At 42.0% G+C, this 22,194-nt stretch overlaps 7 non-coding genes and 1 pseudogene across 7 annotated transcripts, besides 8 other annotated features; 1 reads left to right on the top strand and 7 right to left on the bottom strand.

Annotated features, from left to right (window-relative positions):
• Positions 3,887-4,206: an enhancer, noted in NCBI's record as "active region_24236". NCBI's record gives its function as "activates an Ori minimal core promoter by ATAC-STARR-seq in GM12878 lymphoblastoid cells {active_cell/tissue: GM12878}" and the evidence as "EXISTENCE:reporter gene assay evidence [ECO:0000049][PMID:35858748]".
• Positions 4,287-4,476: a silencer, noted in NCBI's record as "silent region_17004". NCBI's record gives its function as "represses an Ori minimal core promoter by ATAC-STARR-seq in GM12878 lymphoblastoid cells {active_cell/tissue: GM12878}" and the evidence as "EXISTENCE:reporter gene assay evidence [ECO:0000049][PMID:35858748]".
• On the bottom strand, positions 4,381-4,464 carry TRS-GCT6-1 (tRNA-Ser (anticodon GCT) 6-1). The gene has a single exon. It is a non-coding gene; the product is annotated as a tRNA-Ser (tRNA).
• Positions 8,747-8,861: a transcriptional cis regulatory region, noted in NCBI's record as "candidate enhancer chr6.1133 targeted for multiplex CRISPR interference". NCBI's record gives its function as "positively regulates H1-4 gene expression with high confidence in K562 cells {active_cell/tissue: K562}" and the evidence as "EXISTENCE:mutant phenotype evidence [ECO:0000015][PMID:30612741]".
• Positions 9,950-10,169: a transcriptional cis regulatory region, noted in NCBI's record as "candidate enhancer chr6.1134 targeted for multiplex CRISPR interference". NCBI's record gives its function as "positively regulates TRIM38 gene expression with high confidence in K562 cells {active_cell/tissue: K562}" and the evidence as "EXISTENCE:mutant phenotype evidence [ECO:0000015][PMID:30612741]".
• Positions 10,087-10,158, bottom strand: TRQ-TTG3-1 (tRNA-Gln (anticodon TTG) 3-1). The gene has a single exon. It is a non-coding gene; the product is annotated as a tRNA-Gln (tRNA).
• Positions 10,156-10,205: a silencer, noted in NCBI's record as "silent region_17005". NCBI's record gives its function as "represses an Ori minimal core promoter by ATAC-STARR-seq in GM12878 lymphoblastoid cells {active_cell/tissue: GM12878}" and the evidence as "EXISTENCE:reporter gene assay evidence [ECO:0000049][PMID:35858748]".
• Positions 10,636-10,685: a silencer, noted in NCBI's record as "silent region_17006". NCBI's record gives its function as "represses an Ori minimal core promoter by ATAC-STARR-seq in GM12878 lymphoblastoid cells {active_cell/tissue: GM12878}" and the evidence as "EXISTENCE:reporter gene assay evidence [ECO:0000049][PMID:35858748]".
• On the bottom strand, positions 10,638-10,709 carry TRQ-TTG3-2 (tRNA-Gln (anticodon TTG) 3-2). The gene has a single exon. It is a non-coding gene; the product is annotated as a tRNA-Gln (tRNA).
• Positions 11,387-11,626: a silencer, noted in NCBI's record as "silent region_17007". NCBI's record gives its function as "represses an Ori minimal core promoter by ATAC-STARR-seq in GM12878 lymphoblastoid cells {active_cell/tissue: GM12878}" and the evidence as "EXISTENCE:reporter gene assay evidence [ECO:0000049][PMID:35858748]".
• TRS-TGA3-1 (tRNA-Ser (anticodon TGA) 3-1) lies at positions 11,487-11,568 on the bottom strand. The gene has a single exon. It is a non-coding gene; the product is annotated as a tRNA-Ser (tRNA).
• On the bottom strand, positions 12,015-12,086 carry TRX-CAT1-3 (tRNA-iMet (anticodon CAT) 1-3). The gene has a single exon. It is a non-coding gene; the product is annotated as a tRNA-Met (tRNA).
• A 5,906-nt stretch (positions 12,087-17,992) lies between these two features.
• TRW-CCA3-1 (tRNA-Trp (anticodon CCA) 3-1) lies at positions 17,993-18,064 on the bottom strand. The gene has a single exon. It is a non-coding gene; the product is annotated as a tRNA-Trp (tRNA).
• H3C9P (H3 clustered histone 9, pseudogene) lies at positions 20,767-21,183 on the bottom strand (annotated as a pseudogene).
• Positions 21,139-21,328: an enhancer, noted in NCBI's record as "active region_24237". NCBI's record gives its function as "activates an Ori minimal core promoter by ATAC-STARR-seq in GM12878 lymphoblastoid cells {active_cell/tissue: GM12878}" and the evidence as "EXISTENCE:reporter gene assay evidence [ECO:0000049][PMID:35858748]".
• TRR-TCG2-1 (tRNA-Arg (anticodon TCG) 2-1) lies at positions 21,709-21,781 on the top strand. Its single transcript has one exon. It is a non-coding gene; the product is annotated as a tRNA-Arg (tRNA).
• Positions 21,782-22,194: the final 413 nt, after the last annotated feature.

Consider the following 22,194-nt stretch of genomic DNA (forward strand, 5'->3'; position numbering starts at 1 on the left):
TTGCCTGTCATAACCCTTTCTCTCTTCTTTTTCTTTCTTTCTCTACTGCACTGATAGCAAAGAATGCCAAAAGGAGGAGAGAGACTTTCCAGACTGGGAAGTGCCAAAAGGGAGAAAACTGAAAAAGATAGGGAAATCTGTGGACATCCTGAGTCTTAAATGGTCACCGTGATTTAGGAACTTGTCCCAAATCCACCAAATAAAAATATATGCACCCTTTGATGAATGTGTAAGCCTTTCTGCTTTGAGAGTGGGATTCAGAAAATAAATAAATAAATAACATGAAAAACATCTTTTGGAGCTGGATTAAAAAAAAGCAACTGGAAGAAAATAAATCAAGAAGAAAGATTTCTAGATGTGTATCACAAACACTGGGAGTTGGGTCCAGTTGCACAGGGGATTAAGAGATTCATGAATTTAATAGAGTAGCCCCCCTTATTTACAGGAGTTATGTTCCAAGACCCCAGTGGATGCCTGAAACCTTGGATAGTGCTGAACTCTATATACACCATGTTTTTTCCTATACATACACACATATGATAAAGTTTAATTTATAAATTAGGCATTTTAAGAGATTAACAACAATAACTAATAAAACAATTATAACAATCTACATACAGTAATAAAAGTTATATGAATGTGATCTCTCTGTCTCTCAAAATACTTTATTGTACATTACTCACCTATTTTCAGACCTCAGTTGACTATGGGTAACTGAAACCACACAAAGTGAAACCTCAGATAGAAAGGGGACTACTGTAAATGTTTATGGAGCACCTACCCTGTGCCTGCTTCTCTCCCCAGCCACTGTGCTAGGTACTGGGATTCTAGAATATAGGATCTAGCAATCTAGGAACACAGTAACAAAAGTACACAAAAACCCATGTCCTCAAGAGGTTTGGAGTTGAAGGAAGAGAGGAGGAGACAACACAGAAAACACAAAATGAATAAGTAGATTATATAAGTAAATTATACTTTATATTAGAAGAGATATATTCTGAAGGAGTTAAAAACTATGCCCCTCTGGCATAGTGACTATTTTGAGTTAAAGGCACTTGAAAAATAGCAGATGCAAGAATATCACTCTGACTCTCATTCTGTTTCTTAAAAGCAGAATATTAAATTCCTCTGTGAAATAAGTCCTCCCTAAACTAGAATGACAGTATCATTCATTCTAGTTTCTAAGGTAACTGAGGCTGAGGGAAATCTGTGTAAACAAATCTTGTTAAATGAGAATTTATCCTCTCAGCCACTTCTCTACCCAAGTAACTACCCAAGCCCAAGCCCCTTTGCCTTGTTACATTTACATAGTTTACCACTTTCTGTCTAATTCAGCATGTAAGTGTTCCACTCTCACTGCACTGTAGTATCTTCATTTTCCAATGAAGCCTCTTGTGCCACAGAAAACTATTAAATGAATTTGTATGGTCTTTTTGTATTAATCTGCCTTACATCAATTTAATTCTCAGGTTCAGCTGGAGAAATTGTAGTAAGAATAGAGGTAAAATTTTGCCTCCACTACAGTTCAAAAACATAAAGATTATATTATATATTTTTAAGACATAGGGTCTCACTTTGTCACCCAGGCTGGAATGCAGTGGTGTAATCATGGCTCACTGCAGCCTCAACCACCAATCCTCCTGCCTCAGCCTCCCAAGTAACTAGAACTACAGGTGTGTGCCACCACATCTAGCTGATTTATTTTTTGTAGAGACAGGGTCTCGCTATGTTGCTCAGGCTTATCTTGAACTCTTGGCCTCAAGCAATCCTCCTGCCTCAATTCCCAAAGTACTGGGTTACAGATGTGAGCCACCATGCCCAGCCAAAACCATAAAGATTTTTATTATGACTTGCAAGGAGCAAAGACTATGTGTTTCAGTCAGCTATTGCTCCATTAAAACACACACACACACACACACACACACACAAATGCTTAAAAACATACAATAAGCATCTGTGTGTGTCAGTTGAAGGTCAATAGTTCTAGGCCAAATTATATGAATGGCTGTACCTTAAGATGTAAGTACACTTCAGCTTACCTGCTTTGCGCTTCACAGTAGGAACTCTAGTTAGTTCAAAGCATGTTCTTTCTGGGGCCAAGGGTGAAAAGACAGCAGCTACCCAAGGGAAAATTTTTCTCATGAAGATGGCAGAGGTGCATATGGACACCCAACTATGCAGGCATATTCAAAGGCCCTAATTGACTCATGCCTGCTAACTACACATTGACCAAAGTCATTGTCATGCCCAAGGCCAAAGTCAAAGTGATATGGAAATATACCACATGTCTTTGGGAGGAATTGCAGAGTTGTTAGGCAAAGGGCTTAGATATGGAAAGAAATGAAGAATTTACCAAAACTTACAAATTAACCTATATCTTGAGGAAGAGAAAAACAGCCCCAGTAGCCAGAACATTAACAGCTAGGACTTGGAGTTGCTGGGAGCTGGCCTGGCTCTCACAGCAAAGCTCTGGTCAACTCCTATTGGATATAACCAATCTCAAAAAACACCAACAGGCAAGGACACTTTGTGGCCATTATGACTTGAGATAAAACAACACAATTCATAATCATGGTGAGTAAAAATAAAAAACAAGGACATCGTCAAATAACAAAAGTAACCAAACATCTCCTCCTTTCTGGCTAATATGTCTACTGCTTCTTTACCAGTTATAGTGAGAATCCTGCTTTATCCTCTTGGTTTGTTTGTTTGTTTGTTTTTGAGACAGAATCTCACTCTGTCACCCAGGCCAGAGTGCAGTGACACAATCGAGAGTCACTGCAACTTCCTTGATTCAAGCGATCTAGGCTCACCCACCTCCTAGGTTCAAGCAATTCTTGTGCCTCAGCCTCCTGAGTAGCTGGAATTACAGGCATGTGCCACCAAAACCCAGCTAATTTTTGTATTTTTAGTAGAGACGGAGTTTCACCATGCAGGCTCAAACCCTGACCTCATGTGTCTGCCCGCCTCTGCCTCCCAAAGTGCTGGGATTACAGGCATGAGCCACCACACCCAGCCTATTCTCTCACTTTCTAGATAAAAATTATTAGGATATACAATCACAAAATTACGGTCAGCTAATGGTTCACCATGGCATTTTGTCTCCCTCTTTGCAACAAACCAACAAATCCAATTTTGCTTGTCTACAGGTGTGTCTCTGGTGGTCTTTGTCAGGAATTTACCAACAGTCTTGAATTCTGAAACATTAAACATCACAGACATAGAGGCAGCTAACTTTTATGTAACACCTCCCCTTTGTCCACCACTAAACCAGATTAAGGGGAGATGTGTTAAACGTGGAAGACAACAGAGCCTCTGATAAACCACATGAATAAAAAAAAAAAAAGAAAGATTTTTTTTTAAGTTGAAAAGTTTTGCATGGCATAAGCATAACCAATTTTTCATGTTTTTTGTTTAGATATGGGATGTTTAGATATGGGCCAAATGGCAGTTTCAAATATTTATTTAGCAAGTTTAGCAGTCTTTTTTGTGTGTGATTTTTATATAACATAAATTTTAATGGTCCTGTGGGCTTCATTATTTAGGAATGACATAGCATATGTAACCAATTCCTTTTTTCTTTCTTTCTCTCTCTCTCTTTTGTTTTTGTTTTTGTTTTTGTTTTTGTTTTAATGCGGGGAGGTTGGGGTTGTGGGGGGGTGGCGGTCTTGATATATTGCTCAGGTTGGTCTCGAACTCCTGGACTCAAGTGATCCTCCAGTCTCAACCTTCCAAAGTGCAAGGATTGCAGGCGTGTGCCACTGCGCCAGGCCCAATTCCTTATGATTACACATTCATGATGAAAACTGCCGAAACAGCGAAACCAAAACTAAGAAGGAAGTGAGGACAGTGATGGTTCTTAACCCGGGAGACCCAAGGCACTTGCAAAACGACCACTAGACTCCACCCCTCTAAAGATTTCGATTTAACTGGTTCTAGGGGAGAGGAGGAGACACGAGCATTTTGAGAAATCTCCCCAGTTATGTATAATTAACAACCACCGGATCACAGCTAGATAAGGAGAAATGCTAGGCGCTACTCAGGGGGTTAAGCAAAAAATCAGAGGGTCGGAAATCAGTTTTCAACTACAAGAGTCTTGCGGATCTGGAGCAGCGGTGGATACACCTCTGCCTGCGCGGAGGGAGCGGAGCTAAAATACTGTAATTTTTCGGACCTTTATAAAATAGAATCAGTAATCATGTTACCAACAGAAGGTTGTTAGTGCCAGCACACGTTAGTGTGCTAATACATACTGAAGAATACCTCTCTTAAAGGGAGCTAAAAACACCTAATTCTCAGTGAGCAAACGGGGAGGTATAGCAGACGATACCTTACTGAGGGGAAACCTTTAAAAAAGCCCAGTTAGCAGGGAAAGCCGAGCGACGAGGATGGGATTCGAACCCACGCGTGCAGAGCACAATGGATTAGCAGTCCATCGCCTTAACCACTCGGCCAGGCCTCTCCTGATATGTGTAATGTTTCTCTTCTCAACAGTTTCATTTGGCAATTCCTATTCTTTTGTTAAATGTTTTCAGTGACGGAAATAATGGATAAATGGCCCTCTTACTCTCATAAAGGAAGAAAAACTAAAGAGGAGACTGGGAGGGAGGAATAGACCCTAATAAAGATGACAAAGTACACTTTCTAAGGGAAAAATAAGAGAAATTAAAAAGGAAAAACGAATTAGTGACTGCTCCTGTTTTTTAAATCAAATTGGATTTTGTCTTTTTTCTTAGGTCATGTATATGAACACCATCATTAAACCAGGTATGTCTGTTGTTGCATTCCTGGACACTCCCTGGTAGGATTCCCAGAGGGATGCCTGCCATATGATGGCACTAACGCATCTGAGAAATAACCATTGTCTCTCCTAGAAGCCCAAGTGGGTGACTGGTAAAGTGTTGAAGTGATGGGTTACAGTCAAATTGTGATTGGTTCTGAGTGTCAGACCCTAGAGTTTGGACTGTATCTTAAAGAATCGTGGGGCCATCTGAGGGATTTTTGTTTTGTTTTTGCTTATTTTGCACAAAGAAATGTGATGAAAATGATACTTAGTGTTGTCATTTTTATTATCTGTTTGTATTTCATTTAAATTCTAAATTAAAAAAATAAATTTATTTTTATAGAGACAGGGTCTCACTATGTCACTCTGTTGCACAGGCTAGCCTCAAACTCCTAGGCTCAAGCAATCCACCCACCTTGGTTTACCCAAAGTACTGGGATTACAGGCATGAGCCACCATGTCCAACCTTTCTTTGGTTGTTTCTGACTCATTTCATCACAATCAGAGAAGTCAGTCTGATGCTAATGTTCTGTGAAATTAGGCAAAACAGAAGAACCCCATGACTTAGCAGTGACTGCCTGGCCGATTCCTGACAATATGCAGGCCTAGTGAATACGGTCAGACCAGTTCCTGGATACCAGGGGCTGTTTTCTCACCTATACCCAATAAAATTACAAAAACAATAATATTGTGTATGTGTGTGTTTTGACATGATGTAGCATTAAAAAAATAAGGCCGGGCACAGTGGCTCACACCTGTAATCCCAGCACTTTGGGAGGCCAAGGCTGGAGGATCGCTTAGGCAACATGACGAAACCCCGACTCCACAAAATATACAAAAAATTAACCGAGTGTGGTGGCTGGTGCCTGTAGTCCCAGCTACTTGGAAGGCTGTGTTGAGAGGATCAGCTGAGCCTGGGAGGGCGAGGCTGCATCAAGCCATAATCACACTACTGCACTCCAGCCTGGGTAACAGAGTGACAGAGTAAGACCCTGTCTCAAAAGCAAAGCAAAGCAAAGCAAAGCAATTAAGAATATGATCAAGATTCAAACTGTATCCCCTAGGGAGTTACCAAGGAATTACCTAACAAATATCAGACATATTAGGTATCAAATCACCATCAAAACATAGCAGGCCAGGAAATGTACGAATTTTCATTTTTTTAAAGCTTCAGTTAGCAACAAATTCTAAAGTGTTCTGAAAAGAAAAACTATTGCTTGGTCTTGATTGTGTTTGGATTAGAAATTATAAAGCATGATAAACAAACCTGGACCTGAAGGGTTCATTAGTTCTTTGATTCATTCAATGTTTTGATGAATATTTATTGAGCATTGCGTATGTTCCAGGCATTGTTCTAAGAACAAATGTATATGCCACACACAAAATTCCCTGCCCTGGTGAAACCTAATTATGTAGAAATAAGCAATAAACAACTTATAAAGCAAAATATAGGCCAAGCACAGTGGCTCACACCTATAATCATAGCACTTTGGAAAGCCAAGGCAGGCAGATTCCTTGAACTCAGGAGTTTGAGACCAGCCTAGGCAACATGGTGAAACCTCATCTCTACAAAAAATACCAAAATTAGCTGGGCGTGGCGGTGCACATCTGTAGTCCCAGCTACTCAGGAGGCTGAGGAGGGAGGATCGCTTGAACCCAGGAGGTCGAAGTTCAGTGAGCCAAGATTGCACCACTGCACTCCAGCCTGGATGGCAAAGTGAGACCTTGTCTCACCAAAAAAAAAAAAGCAAAATACACAGTATGTCAGAGGATGGTATATGCATAGGAGTGGTGGCAAGTTAAATAGGGTGGTCAGGGGAAAATTAGCTCAGTGGTTTTCCATGCTGCACATTTGAATCCATAGGGAACTTTTGAGAAGGATTCATGTCAGGGCATTATCCCTATAGATTCTAATTCACTTGTTCAGTCATGATATTAAAAGAGAGTAGCAGTCAAGCTCTTCAATACTGGCTTGATCATAAAGGAAGATACACAATGGAAAACTAGTTTTAAAAAGGTGAGGCAAGAGATAATTTTCCCAATCCAAAAGGTACCAGGAATTGCTCCCAATACAGCACTTCCTGACCAAGCAAAAGAAGGTGTCTGCAAAATATCAGTCATAGCATTAGACCAGCTCCAATTAGGGCTTATTCTGCCCTGAGGTCTTTACAGTGTTTAACAGTGTGGTGGCCACACTTCCTGTGTAAACTCCTCCCTTTGAATGTTGGCTGGATCTAGTGACCTGCTCCTAACCTACAGAATATAAAAAATGTGATAGGATATTACTTTCATGATATCTCATGTGAGATATGTGTCTGTTGTTTTAAGCTGCCAATTTGGGTGCAATTTGTTATACAACAGATAACTAATACATGCAGGAAGGCCTGATCAGCCAGAGAGCAGTGGATCCTATGGCTGAAAGGGAGTATAGTTGAGAATGTAAAAATACAAGACATCATTGCCATAAATTTGCCAAGTCTGAGTTCAGATGCTAATCATTACATCATAGACCCTTTCCATAAGATTCTCCTATTGAAAGACTTGTGTATAAGCTTGGTGTAAATCTATACATTATCTTTTTTAAAAAAGCCATGACCAATAGATTAAATCTAAAGAGCATTAACAAATGCCTGCTATTTATTAATAAAGGGTATGGTAGGCTAAATAATGACCCCCAAAATAGGTCCACAACCAATCACCAGAACCTGTGAATAAGTTACCTTATGTTACCTTAAGTGGTCAAAGGAATTTTGCAGATGGGATTTCATTGAAGATTTTGAGATGGGGAGATTATCTTGGATTATCTAAGTGGGTCCAATGTAATCAAGAGGGTCCTATAAAAGGAAGGCAGGAGGTTCAGAGTCAGGAAAAGAAAATGTGACTACAGAAGCAAGAAGTGATGCAAGGAAGGGGCCACTAGAAGCTGAAAACGCCAGGAAAATGAATTATCTCATGATGTCTCCAGAAGATACACAGCCCTGCTAATACTTTTATTGTAGACTTCTGATATCCAAAACTGCAAAAAAACATTTAATTCACGTTGTCTTAGCCAGGGATGGTGGTGTGCACCTGCAGTCCTAGCTACTTGGGAGGCTGACAGGGAACGATTACTTGAACCCAGGAGTTTGAGGCTGCAATGAGCTATGATTGTGCCACTACAGTCCAGCCTGAGTGATAGTGTAAGACCCTATTTTAAAAAATAAATAGGCCGGATGCGGTGGCTCACGCCTGTAACCCCAGCACTTTGGGAGGTTGAGGCGGTCAGATCAAGGTCAGGAGGTCGAGACAAGCCTGGCCAACATAGTGAAACCCCGTCCCTACTAAAAGTACAAAAAATTAGCCGGGCTTTGTGGCGGGTGCCTGTAATCCCAGCTACTCAGGAGGCTGAGGCAGGAGAATGTCTTGAACCCGGGAGGTGGAGGTTGCAGTGAGATGAGATTGTGCCATTGCACTCCAGCCTGGGCGACAGAGCAAGACTCTGTCTCAAAAACAAATAAATAAATAACAAAAAATAAATTCATATTGTCTTAAACCACCAAATTTGTGGTAAGCAATAGGAAGCTAATAAAAAGCCACTAAGATAGTACCATGAATAGGGCTAAACAGGCAGAAAGAAGTCTACAGGGCTTTTTTCTGGAACAATTTTTAGAGGCCAGAGGAGTTCATGGAGCTCACTTTTGTTGTCATTGAGAGCCCTGGAGGATATGTTTTGAACTGTAGAGAGAGTCAACAGAAGGAATTTAGAGTCCCACCAACAGTTGGGATTTCTGTATTTGGAGTCCAGAGTGTTAACCGTTATACCATGGTATCTTTGTATAACAAAGGTTCTAGGGAAGACTTGTATACTATTGCATCTGGTCAGTTAACCTTTAAAATGGGCATAGATTCAATGTAAGGAACACTAATAGCTTCTCATAGGGAGAAAAATGCAGGTTCTCAGATGACTCAATTTGTGGTTTGCACATATTCATGCCCGAGTCCAGAGATAGCATAGAGAGCATTCGGAGTGAGCTCTGAAGAAGAAAAAAGTCATAGGTGGGGCCTCTGACACATGAACCTTTACTCATCCCAGCAGATGATTAACTTACAGTGGTCTAACTGACTTCAGGCTCCAGCAAAGCAAAGCAAAGCTTTCAAAAGAAGAGCTTCTAGGATACATGAGGGTGATGGGCAGTGGACAACTTTCAGTAGCCAGAGAAAAGAGCAAGAAGCGGGATGTTGCTCCAGAAAAGAAGTGCAAATATGTGAGACTATCTATACATGCCCAAGTGTGCTTCTCCATTTGGGTAAACTCAAGAGCAAGGTCACCAAAACTGAGACAGGTCCACTGAAATTTGAAGCCTAGGTGCTAGCCATTAAGTCACCAGGACATGGAAATTGAATCCCTACTGAAAGACTGATGTGTACTTTTAACATACCAGCTAATCTTTCAAATAATGTGGACAATGCATTAGCTTAAGGAGTTTGGATGGCGCCCCAACTGAGTACAAACGGCAGAGGCTCTAAGATGTGTACAACTGCAGTGCTGTGCAGTCCAAACATTTTAAGGACAGTGTTAGTGCTTAGAAGCAGATGGGACGCTTTAAATAGGCTCTAGAAAAGGAAGAAACTGAGATTGGGGGCTGTAAAACAAACTCTTAATCACTGGGGCCAAGATTCTAACTTACCAGAATCTGAGAAACTCTGGGCAAAAAGGCAAAAAGAGACATCAAGTAAAATAGGAGTAGGGCTAAAATTTCAGAGGTCAGTAGATAGAGACAGTTTTCTCTAGGACAGAGTGCCATGATGATTGGCAGCGCTTGCAGCCAAGTGGGTACACCTCGAAGGTGGGCTAATGATTTAAGAGAACCACAGAGGAACATTGACCAAGATGTTGCTAAAATCCCAAAGAGATTTGGACTCAAATTCCTGGATTCAGCATCCCGAGTGCTAACCGATATACTATGGGACCCTTACATGGGGCACTTGCTACTATAATTCTTATGTAAATCCTTGCATTTTGAGGGGCTTCCAAAGAAGAAAACATTCGCGGGAGGGACCTCTGACACATAAACCATTAAGCACCCTGAGCACTCAAATAACACCCTGGCTGCCTTTGGGAACTCAGGGAAGTGTGGATGCTAAGAGAAAAGACCAAGAATGTACAAGGACATGATACTACTCAGAAGCTAGAAATGACAGTCAGGAGTTACATGACACTTGCTAATCCGAAGAAGAAACCGTGAATGAGAAAGTAAATCCACAGATCGCTGTGTGTTGATGATTTAAGAGACGAACGAAGGATGGGTCACAAAAAGCAGGACAGGTCCCACCGAGATTTGAACTCGGATCGCTGGATTCAAAGTCCAGAGTGCTAACCATTACACCATGGGGCCGCCTTCCGCCACCAATTTCATGAATTTATAAAAATACTGATTACAGAGCATGTCTATTCGATGCAGTATTCTATTAATATTTATTAAATTAATACTATCTGCATCCCATGTAGCAGAAGCTCCAAGAGACTCACATGCACTACAAACCTATCTGGACCAAGTCCGTCTTAGAAACTGAAAAAACTTGAACCCGTTTGAGTATTGTTCAAAAAAGGAAAGAACTGAGGTCTGGTAGGTGAAAGACGTATCCTTAAACTTGCGTATGATAATTTAAATCCGAGGAACTCGCATCCAACAAGAGAGGAGGGGCAAGAGAGAACAGATGTGAAATTCCAGGTGAAAGATTAGAGGATGCTGTTCTGCAGGAAAGCATCGTGCTGCCGACTGGGATGGGATGTTAAGGTGCTTAAGTGATCAGGTGTACGCTCCTCTGGGTACAATGGTAATTTGAGAGAAAGAAAGAGCACTAAAAGTTTGGTAGGTCCCACCGAGATTTGAACTCGGATCGCTGGATTCAAAGTCCAGAGTGCTAACCATTACACCATGGGGCCAACAACACAGTAATCTCCTGACATATTTTTGATAACATGAATGTAGTACGTGGAATTGGTCTATTGAGAGTGCTGTTTACTTTGGCCTCTCAAAATAGGTGCATAGTCCCAGATTCCGAGAAAGTAACAAAACTGCTCCAGCAGGCAGAAAGCAAGAACAGAACTCACCTTTCCAAAAACTTGTTCTGATCTGCCCACGGAGATTATGAATAGGAGCGTTCCTTGATTAATCAGAACTTCGCATTTGCTGAAATTTTAGGTCACGATACTTTTTTCTACGTAAGGGTTTATAAAAGAAAATATCAACACTTAGACATCTCTTAAAACATCTTAGCAACAGTTTTGGAGATTCTCTATCTGGTGTTTCCTCTGCAATTCCGGCCTCTGAAAGTAGGATGACACGAGGGGAACCAGAAAGGATCTGTTTGAGATATTTATTCCATAAGTTAAAGGCAAGCACGGTTTTGGAAGTCAGACGTGAGCTGGATTTCAGATAGGGAGACAGCATTTCAAGAAGACTGAAAGGCAAAACAACTTGAGCGTTTTTCCATCATTTTTATAGCAGTGTCAGAAATTACTTGTGTTTTCAAGTGCTTTCCAATGTAACACTTCAAAAAATCTCTAAGTCTTGTTACACAAAAGAACTAAAATTATCTGGTTCCACTTTTATGGAGAAAGATAATAACAGGAAAATAAAAAGTACTACTCCATGTTATTCTGTGTGATTGCACAGGTAGTGCACCGGATTTCCTCTACCCGAGAGTAAAAAAAGCACGCCGTAGTCGGCAGGATTCGAACCTGCGCGGGGAGACCCCAATGGATTTCAAGTCCATCGCCTTAACCACTCGGCCACGACTACGTACCTCCTTCAACAACCTGGATATATTCCCATGAGGAATATATGTTTCTTTTCACAGACATCTTTAAATTTGTTTATTTTGACAAGGTAACAACTCTGGAATGTCTCTCATCCTGGTTAAAAAACAAAATCAAAATTTTAAAGATTTAGATATTGGCTAAAAGAGATATTGCAAATTGCAAGACTTGTCTGATGTAGGAAGTACGAAAGACTTTACGAGGGGGCCACACGCCAACCCCTAAATGGTCTCCAAACCTACGAAACTGGCTGAAAGCTCTCCACACCTAATTAGTAGGATTACAGATATTGAAGCCTACAAATGCGCATTTCCACCAGGATACCTTGTGGATTCTTACACGGGTCAGGTCCGCTGACGTTTAGCACGCCTACTTTAAAACCTCTTTTCTGTAGGGTCCTAGTCTTCAAGTAAAATATATGCGGCCATATAGCAGAGGATGGTTTCGATCCATCGACCTCTGGGTTATGGGCCCAGCACGCTTCCGCTGCGCCACTCTGCTGTCTCGACAGTCCGCTCCGCCACTCTGCTGTTTCAACATTACTCTTGTCAAGTATGTATTAGAGGCTACAATTTTCGGCATCTTCCTAATTTTAAATGATTTGTTGTCGTTTGCCAAATTATCCTGGAGAATGAGAAGTGCACACTGGCCATCCATATGGGGCTGCACGCCACTTCCAAACACCAGCGGTTTAGAATTCTTCCTCGATAAATTCGAATCAGCTGAGGTTGAAGTTCTCTAAAACGGAAGCATGTTTCGAGTTATGGGAAAACAAAGTGCAGGCTAATTGGCATAATTTATAAAGGTGAAATTATAAATGCTTGGGCAAATTTCAGCCATTCCTGGATACCGGAGGGAGTCGTTATTACTTCCAAACATTTTTTACTTGAGATTTTCATCGAAAATGTTCACAGGAAAAAAAAAATTACAGTTGCAGCGAGGAGGCAACAGAACCTAGAACTCCGCGCGGCAGGTGAGAATTCAACCACTTAACCACCGGTGCTAAACGTAGTTACATGGATTTGTTTTCTTTTACATCTATCATCATATCTCCCTTAAAAAAAGTGACAATGTATGTTCTCTGTCTATAATGTTTTAAAAATCCAGTCAAATATTATGTCTAAATATTCTGAGTAAACGTTTGAACATAGAAGTAAGTAAATACGTAAGAATATTTTTCAGAACGTTTGAACGTAGAAGTAAGCAGAAAGTCTGCTGATACGTGACCCTTGGAGACTTTCAAAGTGAAAAAGACACTCAAGCCTGTAATCCCAGCATTTTGGGAGGCCGAGGCGGGTGGATAGCTTGAAGTCAGGGGTTCGAGACCAGCCTGGCCAACAGGGTGACACCCTGTCTCTACTAAAAATACAAAAATTAGCCGGGCGTGGTGGCACGCGCCTGTAATCCCAGCTACTCGGGAGGCTGAGGCACAAGAATCACTTGAACCCGGGAGGAGAAGGTTGCAGTGAGCCGAGATGGCCCATCAAATGCACTCCAGCCTGGGTGACAAAGGTGGGAGGAGAGGGGAGGGAAGGGAAGGGAGAAAATTTGAGTTTCAGGAAGGAAATTAAGCTCATTCACTTGGCTGTTAACTGGAAGCCTCAGTTATGGCTTTTTTTTTTTTTTTTTTTGACGGAGTCTCGCTCTGTCGCCCAGACTGGAGTGCAGTGGCGCGATCTCTGTTTACTGCAACCTCTGCCTCCCGGGTTCAAGCAATTCTCCTGCCTTAGCCTCCTGAGTAGCTGGAATTACAGGCGCCCACCACCACGCCTGGCTAATTTTTTGTATTTTTAGTAGACACGGGGTTTCACCATGTTGGCCTGACCTCAGATGATCCACACGCCTCGGCCTCCCAAAGTGCTGGGATTACAGGCGTGAGCCACCGCGCCTGGCCATGGCCTTCTATTAAGAAGTTAATATGTGTTTCAAGAACTTCCTGGAATAAACAATAGGGTCCTAGAATAAATAAAATTTATTTGCAACTTTAGCTTCCTGGGCAAAGGTCTCTGGGAATGGTAAAGGTATGTTGATGAAAATAGTGGAATAGTAAAGTCATGTTAATATAGACAGTAAATTGGGCTGTGGCTCATACCTGTAATCCCAGCAGTTTGGGAGGCCGAGGCAGGAGGATCCCTTGAGGCCAGGAGGATCCTCTGAGGCCAGGAGTTCAAGATCAGCTGATGAATTGCCCAAGGTTATTTTTAAAAGGTGACTTCTACGTGTTAACTCTGCATCGTGTTGCAAAAACTCAACAATTACAGTTGAACTATCCAGTGCATCTTTCCTGATACAGAGTAATCTAAGTTTTATCTGTCATATATGAAAACAAACAAAACTACGTCTACCTAGTTTGTAGATCAGTATATAGGTTCTTTTCTCTGTCCTCTCACTCTTTTTTAAAATCATAGATAACTCTTATAATAGTCCAAAATCCTGCTTTGGTGTAGATAGTCTGTGATTTCCCCCCTAAATCCCACATTCTGCACTCTTGGCACTCACATTATCCAGTCAGAGGCCATCACTCTTATATCAATGCACTATATCTGGGTCAAGCATAGGCTTATCCTTGTAAATTTCATCCTTTTTCTTTATTATGAGTTGATATTGTCTGTCTTTTCCACTGGACTACTATTTCCTCCAGAGCAAAAACTCTGTGTGATGTATCTTTCTATGGAGCTGGCACAGAGTATATGTGCAGCAATTTTTTTAACATAATTTGTATATTTTCTTTTTTCAAAGAAAAACTTTTCATCTTAAAATATTTTAAAAATACAAGTCAGCAAAAAGCAAGCAAATTAAAATAATGTCTAATCCCACACCCAGAAATATTTACTCTTATTATTGTAGTATAATCATTAGCCATACGGCTTATACTGTATAATCTGACTAATCTATAATCACACATGGCGATTAATTGCTTAATACATCATTTGTCTATTTCAAGTGTCTTAAGCATCTTTCTATATCAGATATTCTTCAATATCACGTTAAAGGCTACATAATATTCTGCCCTATTATAAATAATAAATTTATTTAACCAATTCTCTCCTGTTAGTGTTCTGAGTTTCTTATTTTTCACTTCTGTAACTGAATAATACTGCTACTATTGCTCCCCGATCAAACCGAGGGTCAGGCTGCTTATTCTTGCGGCCCAATAATGAGATGCAGATGAACTGGGAAATAAGGGAGTTTCTTTTTTCTTTCTTTCTTTCTTTTTTTTTTTTTTTTTGAGACTGAGTCTTGCTCTGTCACCCGGGCTAGAGTGCAGTGGCACGATCTTGTCTCACTGCAACCTCCACCTCCCGGGTTCAAGTGATTCTCATGTCTCAGCCTCCCGAGTAGCTAGGATTACAGGTGCGTGCCACCGCGCCCGGCTAATTTTTATATTTTTAGTAGAAATGGGGTTTCACCACGTTGGCCAGGCTGGTCTCAAACTCCTGACCTCAGGTGATATGACCACCTCGACCTCCCGAAGTGCAGGGATTACAGGCGTGAGCCACCGTGCCTGGCCAGGAGTTTATTTTTGTAACGGGGTACACAAAGAAGGCCTGGAAATTATGGCCAGACTAACTCAAAATCACAAAGTTTTCCAGAGCTTATATACCTTCTAAGCTGCATGTCTACATGTAAGTGTGCATGCATTTAAAGACATACCCTTGGTGGGCTTTGGTTACATTCCAGCCTTTGTATAAGGGCACTGGCTTTTTTTTTTTTTTGCTTTTAATATTTAACTTAACCACTCAGTCAGTGCTAAAACCGTTGTCATGGAGGCCTGCCTGTTCAGCCATTAGGGAGACCTGGCCTGCCGCACTATGTCTGCTATGTCAAATGTAAACGATTCTCTCCTTGACCAAACTCTAGCCAGGCTCCACTGTACATTCTTCTCAACTAGGCCTCAACTTTGACCTTTAAAGACTAAAGACACTAACATAGTTTCTAAGACCACATCCCTAGGATGACTTTAGTCCCCCTTAAAGTGCCTGCCTGAGAAAACTCAAGACTGCCAAAAGAATGCACTGTTGTTCCAAACAACACCTGAAGATAAAGCCCCTGTCTCCCACTTCTGTGGGAAGGTAGGAGCTTAACTTCTGTAAGCACCAGTTAGCAAATATAGATGGGTTTCATATGAACTAATCTCTTTCTGATTTTTGTAATTTTTCACTCCACTGAGCCCTGCTCACCCCCTTTTCTGTTCCTTCATTTTGCCTTTAAAATACTCAGTGACAAGCTGGGCGCGGTGGCTCATGCCTGTAATCAGCACATTGGGAGGCCGAGGTGGGCGGATCACCTGAAGTCAGGAGATCGAGACCAGCCTGGCCAACATGGTGAAAACCCGTCTCTACTAAAAATACAAAAATTAGCCAGGCATGGTAGCAGGTGCCTGTAATCCCAGCTACTCAGGAGGCTGAGGCAGGAGAATCCCTTGAACCTGGGAGGTGGAGGTTGCAATGAGTGGGATTGCGCCATTGCACTCCAGCCTGGGCGATAAGACCAAAATGCTCAGTCACTTCTGCACAAATTTAAGTTGAATTCATTTCATGCTCTACTCTTCTTTATTGGAATATTGTATGGATTAAAATCTGTACTGGGTGCAGGGGTCTCAGGATCAAGTGGCATCTCTTGATCTGCTGAAAAGCTAAATCTCAGAAATGTCTCAAATGCCACGTTTTCGTTTTGTTTTTATTTTTTGAGACGGAGTTTCGCTCTTGTTGCCCAGGCTGAAGTGCAGTGGCGTGGTCTCAGCTCACTGCAACCTCTGCCTCCCAGGTTCAAATGATTCTCCTGCCTCAGGCCTCCCGAGTAGCTGGGATTACAGGCGCTACCATGCCGGGTTAATTTTTTTGTATTTTTAGTAGAGACAGAGTTTCATCATGTTGGCCAGGTTGGTTTTGAACTCCTGACCTTAGGTGATCCACCCACCTCTGCCTCCCAAAGTGCAGGGATTGCAGGCATGAGCCACCGCTCTCCGCCGGAAAGTTATAAATCATGCAACCCCCAGTTAGTGACTGTGGGGCAGTAAAAAACTTACAGAAAAACAAGCTAAGCAGTGGCACGTTATTGTCTATGCTTATTCTTTAGCAAAGTTCAGGACCCTACCATAATTCTTACCTGTTCTTGTGAATGCAGCTTCAATCTCCACAAAAGAAGGTGGAGGTCAGTTTTCCTGCCTCAAAGTTTATCTGTAAACTGAATTCCTCTTGTAATTATCTTGGCCTCTGCTCTAGAATCAGCAAAAAAACAGTTTAGCCTGTGAGGTGAGAAGCAAGACGGAGTCAGTCAGTCATGTTAGATTTCTGTCATTAGCATCAGTGTGAGCAAATAAATTTCTGTCATTTAAGCCTCCCAGTCTATGGTATTTGTTATGGCAACCCTAGCAAACTAATATGATTACTAACAGTGAAATCTGGAGCAAGAAAATAATTACTGTGCAATAACAGTATAGAACTTTAACAGAACTCTAATTATACACCTTTTAGGAATACAGTAAAATAGAAAGTGCTTGCTTGTTAAAAAAAAAAAAAAAAAAAAAATGACAAGTGGGCAGGACATGGTAGCTCACACCTGTAATCCCAGCACTTTGGGAGGCCGAGGCAGGCAGATCACCTGAGGTCAGGAGTTCGAGACCAGCCTGGCCAACATAGAGAAACCCTGTCTCTACTAAAAATACAAAAATTAGCTGGGCGTGGTGGTGCATGCCTGTAGTCCCAGCTACTCGGGAGGCTGAGGCTGGAGGATTGCTTGAACCTGGGAGGCAGAGGTTGCAGTGAGCCAAGATCCCACCACTGCACCCCAAGCCTGGGTGACAAAGTGAGACTCCGTCTCAAAAAAAAAAAAGATTTATGTCAATATCCTTGGCAAGAGAGAAAAGATGGAAGCAAATAGGCCATTGTAATAATTGAGAGAAGTGGATAAACGGGATATGAAATACGAGGAGGTAAAACTCAGCACAACTTGGGACTCCTTTCAGAAGCGAAGAAGAAGTAATGTCCAGGATGGCTCCAAGTTCCTGACTCCAGGTCGAGTGGGGATGAAACTGAGAAGAAGGCATGAAGTGTTGCAGGCAGATAAGCAAAGGAAGAGTCAGGAAGCAAAGAGGGCAGGGCATGAGCATGGAAAAAGCGCCAATGTTTAGGGGTTTATGTGTAGGAAAAGTTATCTAATGCCAAAAGAGAGCGTTTAATCTCCCTTTAAAGAGGTGGCCAAAGATAGACTGTCCACGAGGGGAATTCTTCATTTTAGAGTCATAACAGCAAGCCAAGGGCAAAAGAGACAGATCTCACTTATCTGTGAATGCAGAAAACAAAACACGTCCTTTAATGTCAACGTCTTGAGTTCTTTTTCCCAGGTTGACTGACTAAATATCTCAGTACAGATACTTTTGCCCCCTTCCAAAACGCAACCACCCATGACCCCGACGTGATTTGAACACGCAACCTTCTGATCTGGAGTCAGACGCGCTACCGTTGCGCCACGAGGTCACGGAGACCCTCCATTTTCCTTTTAAGATAAGTATCTAATCTTATCCTCCTCCCAAACAATTTCTTTATTATTTGATTTGATCTCTTTTCACAGTTTTGCTAAGGCTTTTTTGAGAAAAATAAGGGAGTGGCTGGATTAAATATTAACCCCAAACCCAAATAAATGCTCCATATATGAAAAACAGTGGTTTCTCAAGTTCAATCTTTCTATTTCTCGAATTTCTCTGTTTCGAGAAAAAGTGTCTATGTGTTGGGTTTAGATTAGCAGTGAAACAGTAATAAGAACGGTTATGAAGTTTGTACTACTACTTTCTGTAAATGCGCTAGACTACTCCCTCTTCAGGAAGAGAATTCCAGCATTGCACTGCCCCGCAAGACCTGGCCTAGCTAGCACTTACTTCACTCAAACCCATCCGCACACCCGCCCCATCCTCAACCTAATGGGATTCGAAAGCCTAACATAAATAATATCTCTAGCCTAAACGTTCACTTCTCAGTCCAAATTCGCGGGCCCTCTGGTCTCTATTGTGTACACAAGCCATTCAGTTCACAACAATAACCCCAAAGAATCCGTTAACATTTACTGAACTCACCGTTTTCCACTAGCCCCATGGATTAACTTCCTCCAGCCTAGCTATTCTCAAGAAGTGCCTCACGGTCGGAAGCAGCAGGGAACCTAGGAAAAAGGGAACCCCACACCTACGAAAAAGGGAACCCCACACCTACTGAATCAGAAACTGGGCGTGGGGCCCACCAGTCTGTTTTAACTAGCCTTCCAGGAGATTGGGATGTAGGAAAAAGTTTGAGAATCACTGTTCCAGCCAAGAAACCCGATATTTTGCTCTTTCAAGAAAATAAGGCCGGGCGCGTTGGCTCTGGGAGGCCGAGGAGGGCGGATCACCTGAGGTCTGGAGTTCAAGACCAGCCTGACCAATATGGAGAAACCCCGTCTCTACTAAAAATACGAAATTAGCCGGGCTTGGTGGCGCATGCCTGTAATCCCGGCTACTCGGGAGGCTGAGGCAAGAGAATCGCTTGAACCCGGGAGGCAGGGGTTGCGGTGAGCCGAAATCGCACCACTGCACTCCAGCCTGGGCAATAAGAGCGAAACTCCGTCTCAAAAAAAAAAAAAAAAAAAGAAAAGAAAAAGAAAGAGAGAGAGAAAGAAAAAAAAAAAGAAAAGAAAAGTCCAGCCTTCTAAGATGGAGGAAGGACAGTGTATTAGTTAACTGTGCTCCTGTAACAAATACTACAGACTGGGTGGCTTAGACAAAAATCATTTTCTCACAGTTCTGGAGACTAGAAGTCCGAGATCAAAGTACTTGTCTGTTTGATTTTTTTTTCTCCCCTGAGGCCTTTTTTGTTGGCTTGCAGGTGACTATCTTCTCCCTCTGCCTTTAAATGATTTTTTCTCTGTGTGTCCGTGTTCTAATCTCTTCTTATAAGGACACCAGCCCTTATGATTTGGGCCCTACTTTCATGATCTCAAAATACCTTAATTACCCCCTTTAAAGACCCTATCTCCAAATACTGTCACATTCTTTTTCCCTTTATTTATAAACATTATTTCATTCATTTCTCCATTTTGCAGATGAAATACTGTCACATTCTGAAGTACTAGAGATTAGGGCTTCCACATATGAATTTAAGGGGGTTGGAGGAAGGCTAAATTCATTTCACACAGGTAGTTTCCAGACGAAGCTGTACTGACAATATCCGAGCCTGGCATAGGGAAAAGGGATAGGAATGGGGGCTCCATGGTGAACATCTACTGTCTCTTTGCTTTTCCCACTCCTGGTTTAGGATTTAGCTTTCTCAGGGCTCTCAAAATCAGCGACTCCTCAATCAGCTTTCCAGATGACAAAATTTTGTTTCTGTTATCTCCTCTCCCTATTTGGATGTATATTTTAGTGCTGTTTGAGTGAGATCTGCGGAGTATGCAAAAGTAAATTCTTGTGTTTAACCCTCGATCTTTACCTGGAAGCATCGTAAGGCAGCGGTGGTTCCCTGCATGTGGAAAGCAGTCTGGTTCTGCCTTTGCCTCTCCAGCTCTCAACTCAAACATTCCTTTCTCATCGTGGCCTTTCTCTCTGCCAATCAAAAGATAAAGCACTCGATCAGTAGTTATTGAAGTACCATATTCCTGCCCTTGGCAGTTATCTAGTTGAAATTTCACAGTTTTTTTATATAGTTTAATATATTTTAATAGCAAACTTACAGGAACAGCACAGAAGACAGACAACATTAAAAACATGTATTTCCATATAGGACAACTCAGAAAAGTATAGTGAATGGATGAAATCTCAGAAAAGTATAGTGAATGAATGATAAAGATGCTACAACACCATTTAGTTTCCGTCAATAAGAAATTTACTTGTTTAAAAAAAAAACAAATGCTGGCATTGTCCAGAAAAATTTAACAGATTTATTTATAATTATTATAAAGTTGAACCGCTGAAACTTGTTCACTGAAACATTTTAACTTGCATTAAGGCTGTACGTTTCCGCATTTATATTAAAAATTCACACCCAAATGAAAATGGAAAAACTGCCAATACCTGATTTCTGTCCCCTATTTTTCCACTCGCAATCATATACCTAGGTACCTTTTGACCCCATGGGAAAAAAAATAACGTTCAGAACTACCAATAACAGGAAGAAGATAATTTTTTTAATGAAATTTTTCCCATCATGGTGGATTCTTAAGCACGTTCTCCACGTATGCGGCGTGCTAGCTGGATGTCTTTTGGCATAATTGTTACACGTTTGGCATGGATAGCCCACAGGTTGTTGTCTTCAAAAAGGCCAACCAGATAGGCCTCACTTGCAAAGCAACTATAGCTGCTCTCTGGAAGCGCAGATCTGTTTTAAAAGTCCTGAGCAATTTCTCGCACCAGACGCTGGAAGGGAAGTTTGCGAATCAGAAGTTCAGCGGACTTCTGATAACGTCTAATTTCACGGAGTGCCACAGTACCAGGCCTGTAACGATGAGGTTTCTTCACCCCTCCAGTAGTGGGAGCACTCTTGCGAGAGGCTTTTGTAGCCAGTTGCTTCCCGGGTGCTTTGCCACCGGTCGATTTGCCGGTCGATTTGCGGGCAGTCGGCTTTCTACGAGCCGTGGTATAGAGACCTCCTTACTTACCCCGCTTCTCCTTTGGCTGGAGCTCGGCGAGCGAGAGGCGGCGCTGGGCTGGCGTTGGAGAGCGACGGCAGGACGGCTGCGGCTACGAACACAATTGCAGTATTTTTTTTTTTTGACAGAGTCTCGCACTGTAGCCCCGGCTGGAGTCTGGAGTGCAGCGGCACGCAGGCGCCCGCCACCACGCCCAGCTAATTTTTGTATTTTTAGTAGAGACGGGGGTTTCTCTGTTTTGGCCAGACTGGTCTCGAACTCCCGACCTCGTGATTCGCCTGCCTCGGCCTCCCAAAGTGCTGGGATTACAGGCGTGAGCCACCGCGCCCGGCCATTAGATTTTTTTTTACCATTAGATTAAACTTCGTCTTTCCCCAACCAGGCTGTAAGTTTTTTTCAGGGGTTGGAAATTCCTTGGTTTACAACAATGATTTCACTATACTTGGTACATTTACAGCTCATAGGGAGGAGATTATTTTCCATCAAAAAATAGTTCTGATTTGTAACCCGGGACCACGTGGCCTAATGGATAAGGCGTCTGACTTCGGATCAGAAGATTGAGGGTTCGAATCCCTCCGTGGTTATTTGAGATACTGACTAGTCTGGTGTTATTTTCCTTCCTCAAAGCTGGTAATCAGAAATGTACTTCTTTCCATTTACTTCACTAAGTTATCTTCATTGTAGATCCCTTCCTTCACATCCCTTGCCTTTGCTCTGTACTTAGTCTGTTTATCCTCTCTCTCTCCACCATAATGCCATACAGTCCATCTTCTGGGCCTGCGCTACTCAAAATTTGGTCCAGTCCCTGAACCAGTAACATAACCTGGGAGCTTCTTAAAAATGACAACTTTTCGAGGCCGACCTCCCTTGCTAGTCCGCACTACACTTGACCTACCTAGAATCGCTGTGTGTAGGCTCTAGGATTCTGGGTTTTAACCAAGCTATCCAAGTGGTTCGTTTGCACACTCGAATGTGAGAACCATTTACAGACCTTACA

This window comes from Homo sapiens, chromosome 6 (genome assembly GCF_000001405.40).
Source record: "Homo sapiens chromosome 6, GRCh38.p14 Primary Assembly".
Classification (NCBI taxonomy): Eukaryota; Metazoa; Chordata; class Mammalia; order Primates; family Hominidae; genus Homo; species Homo sapiens.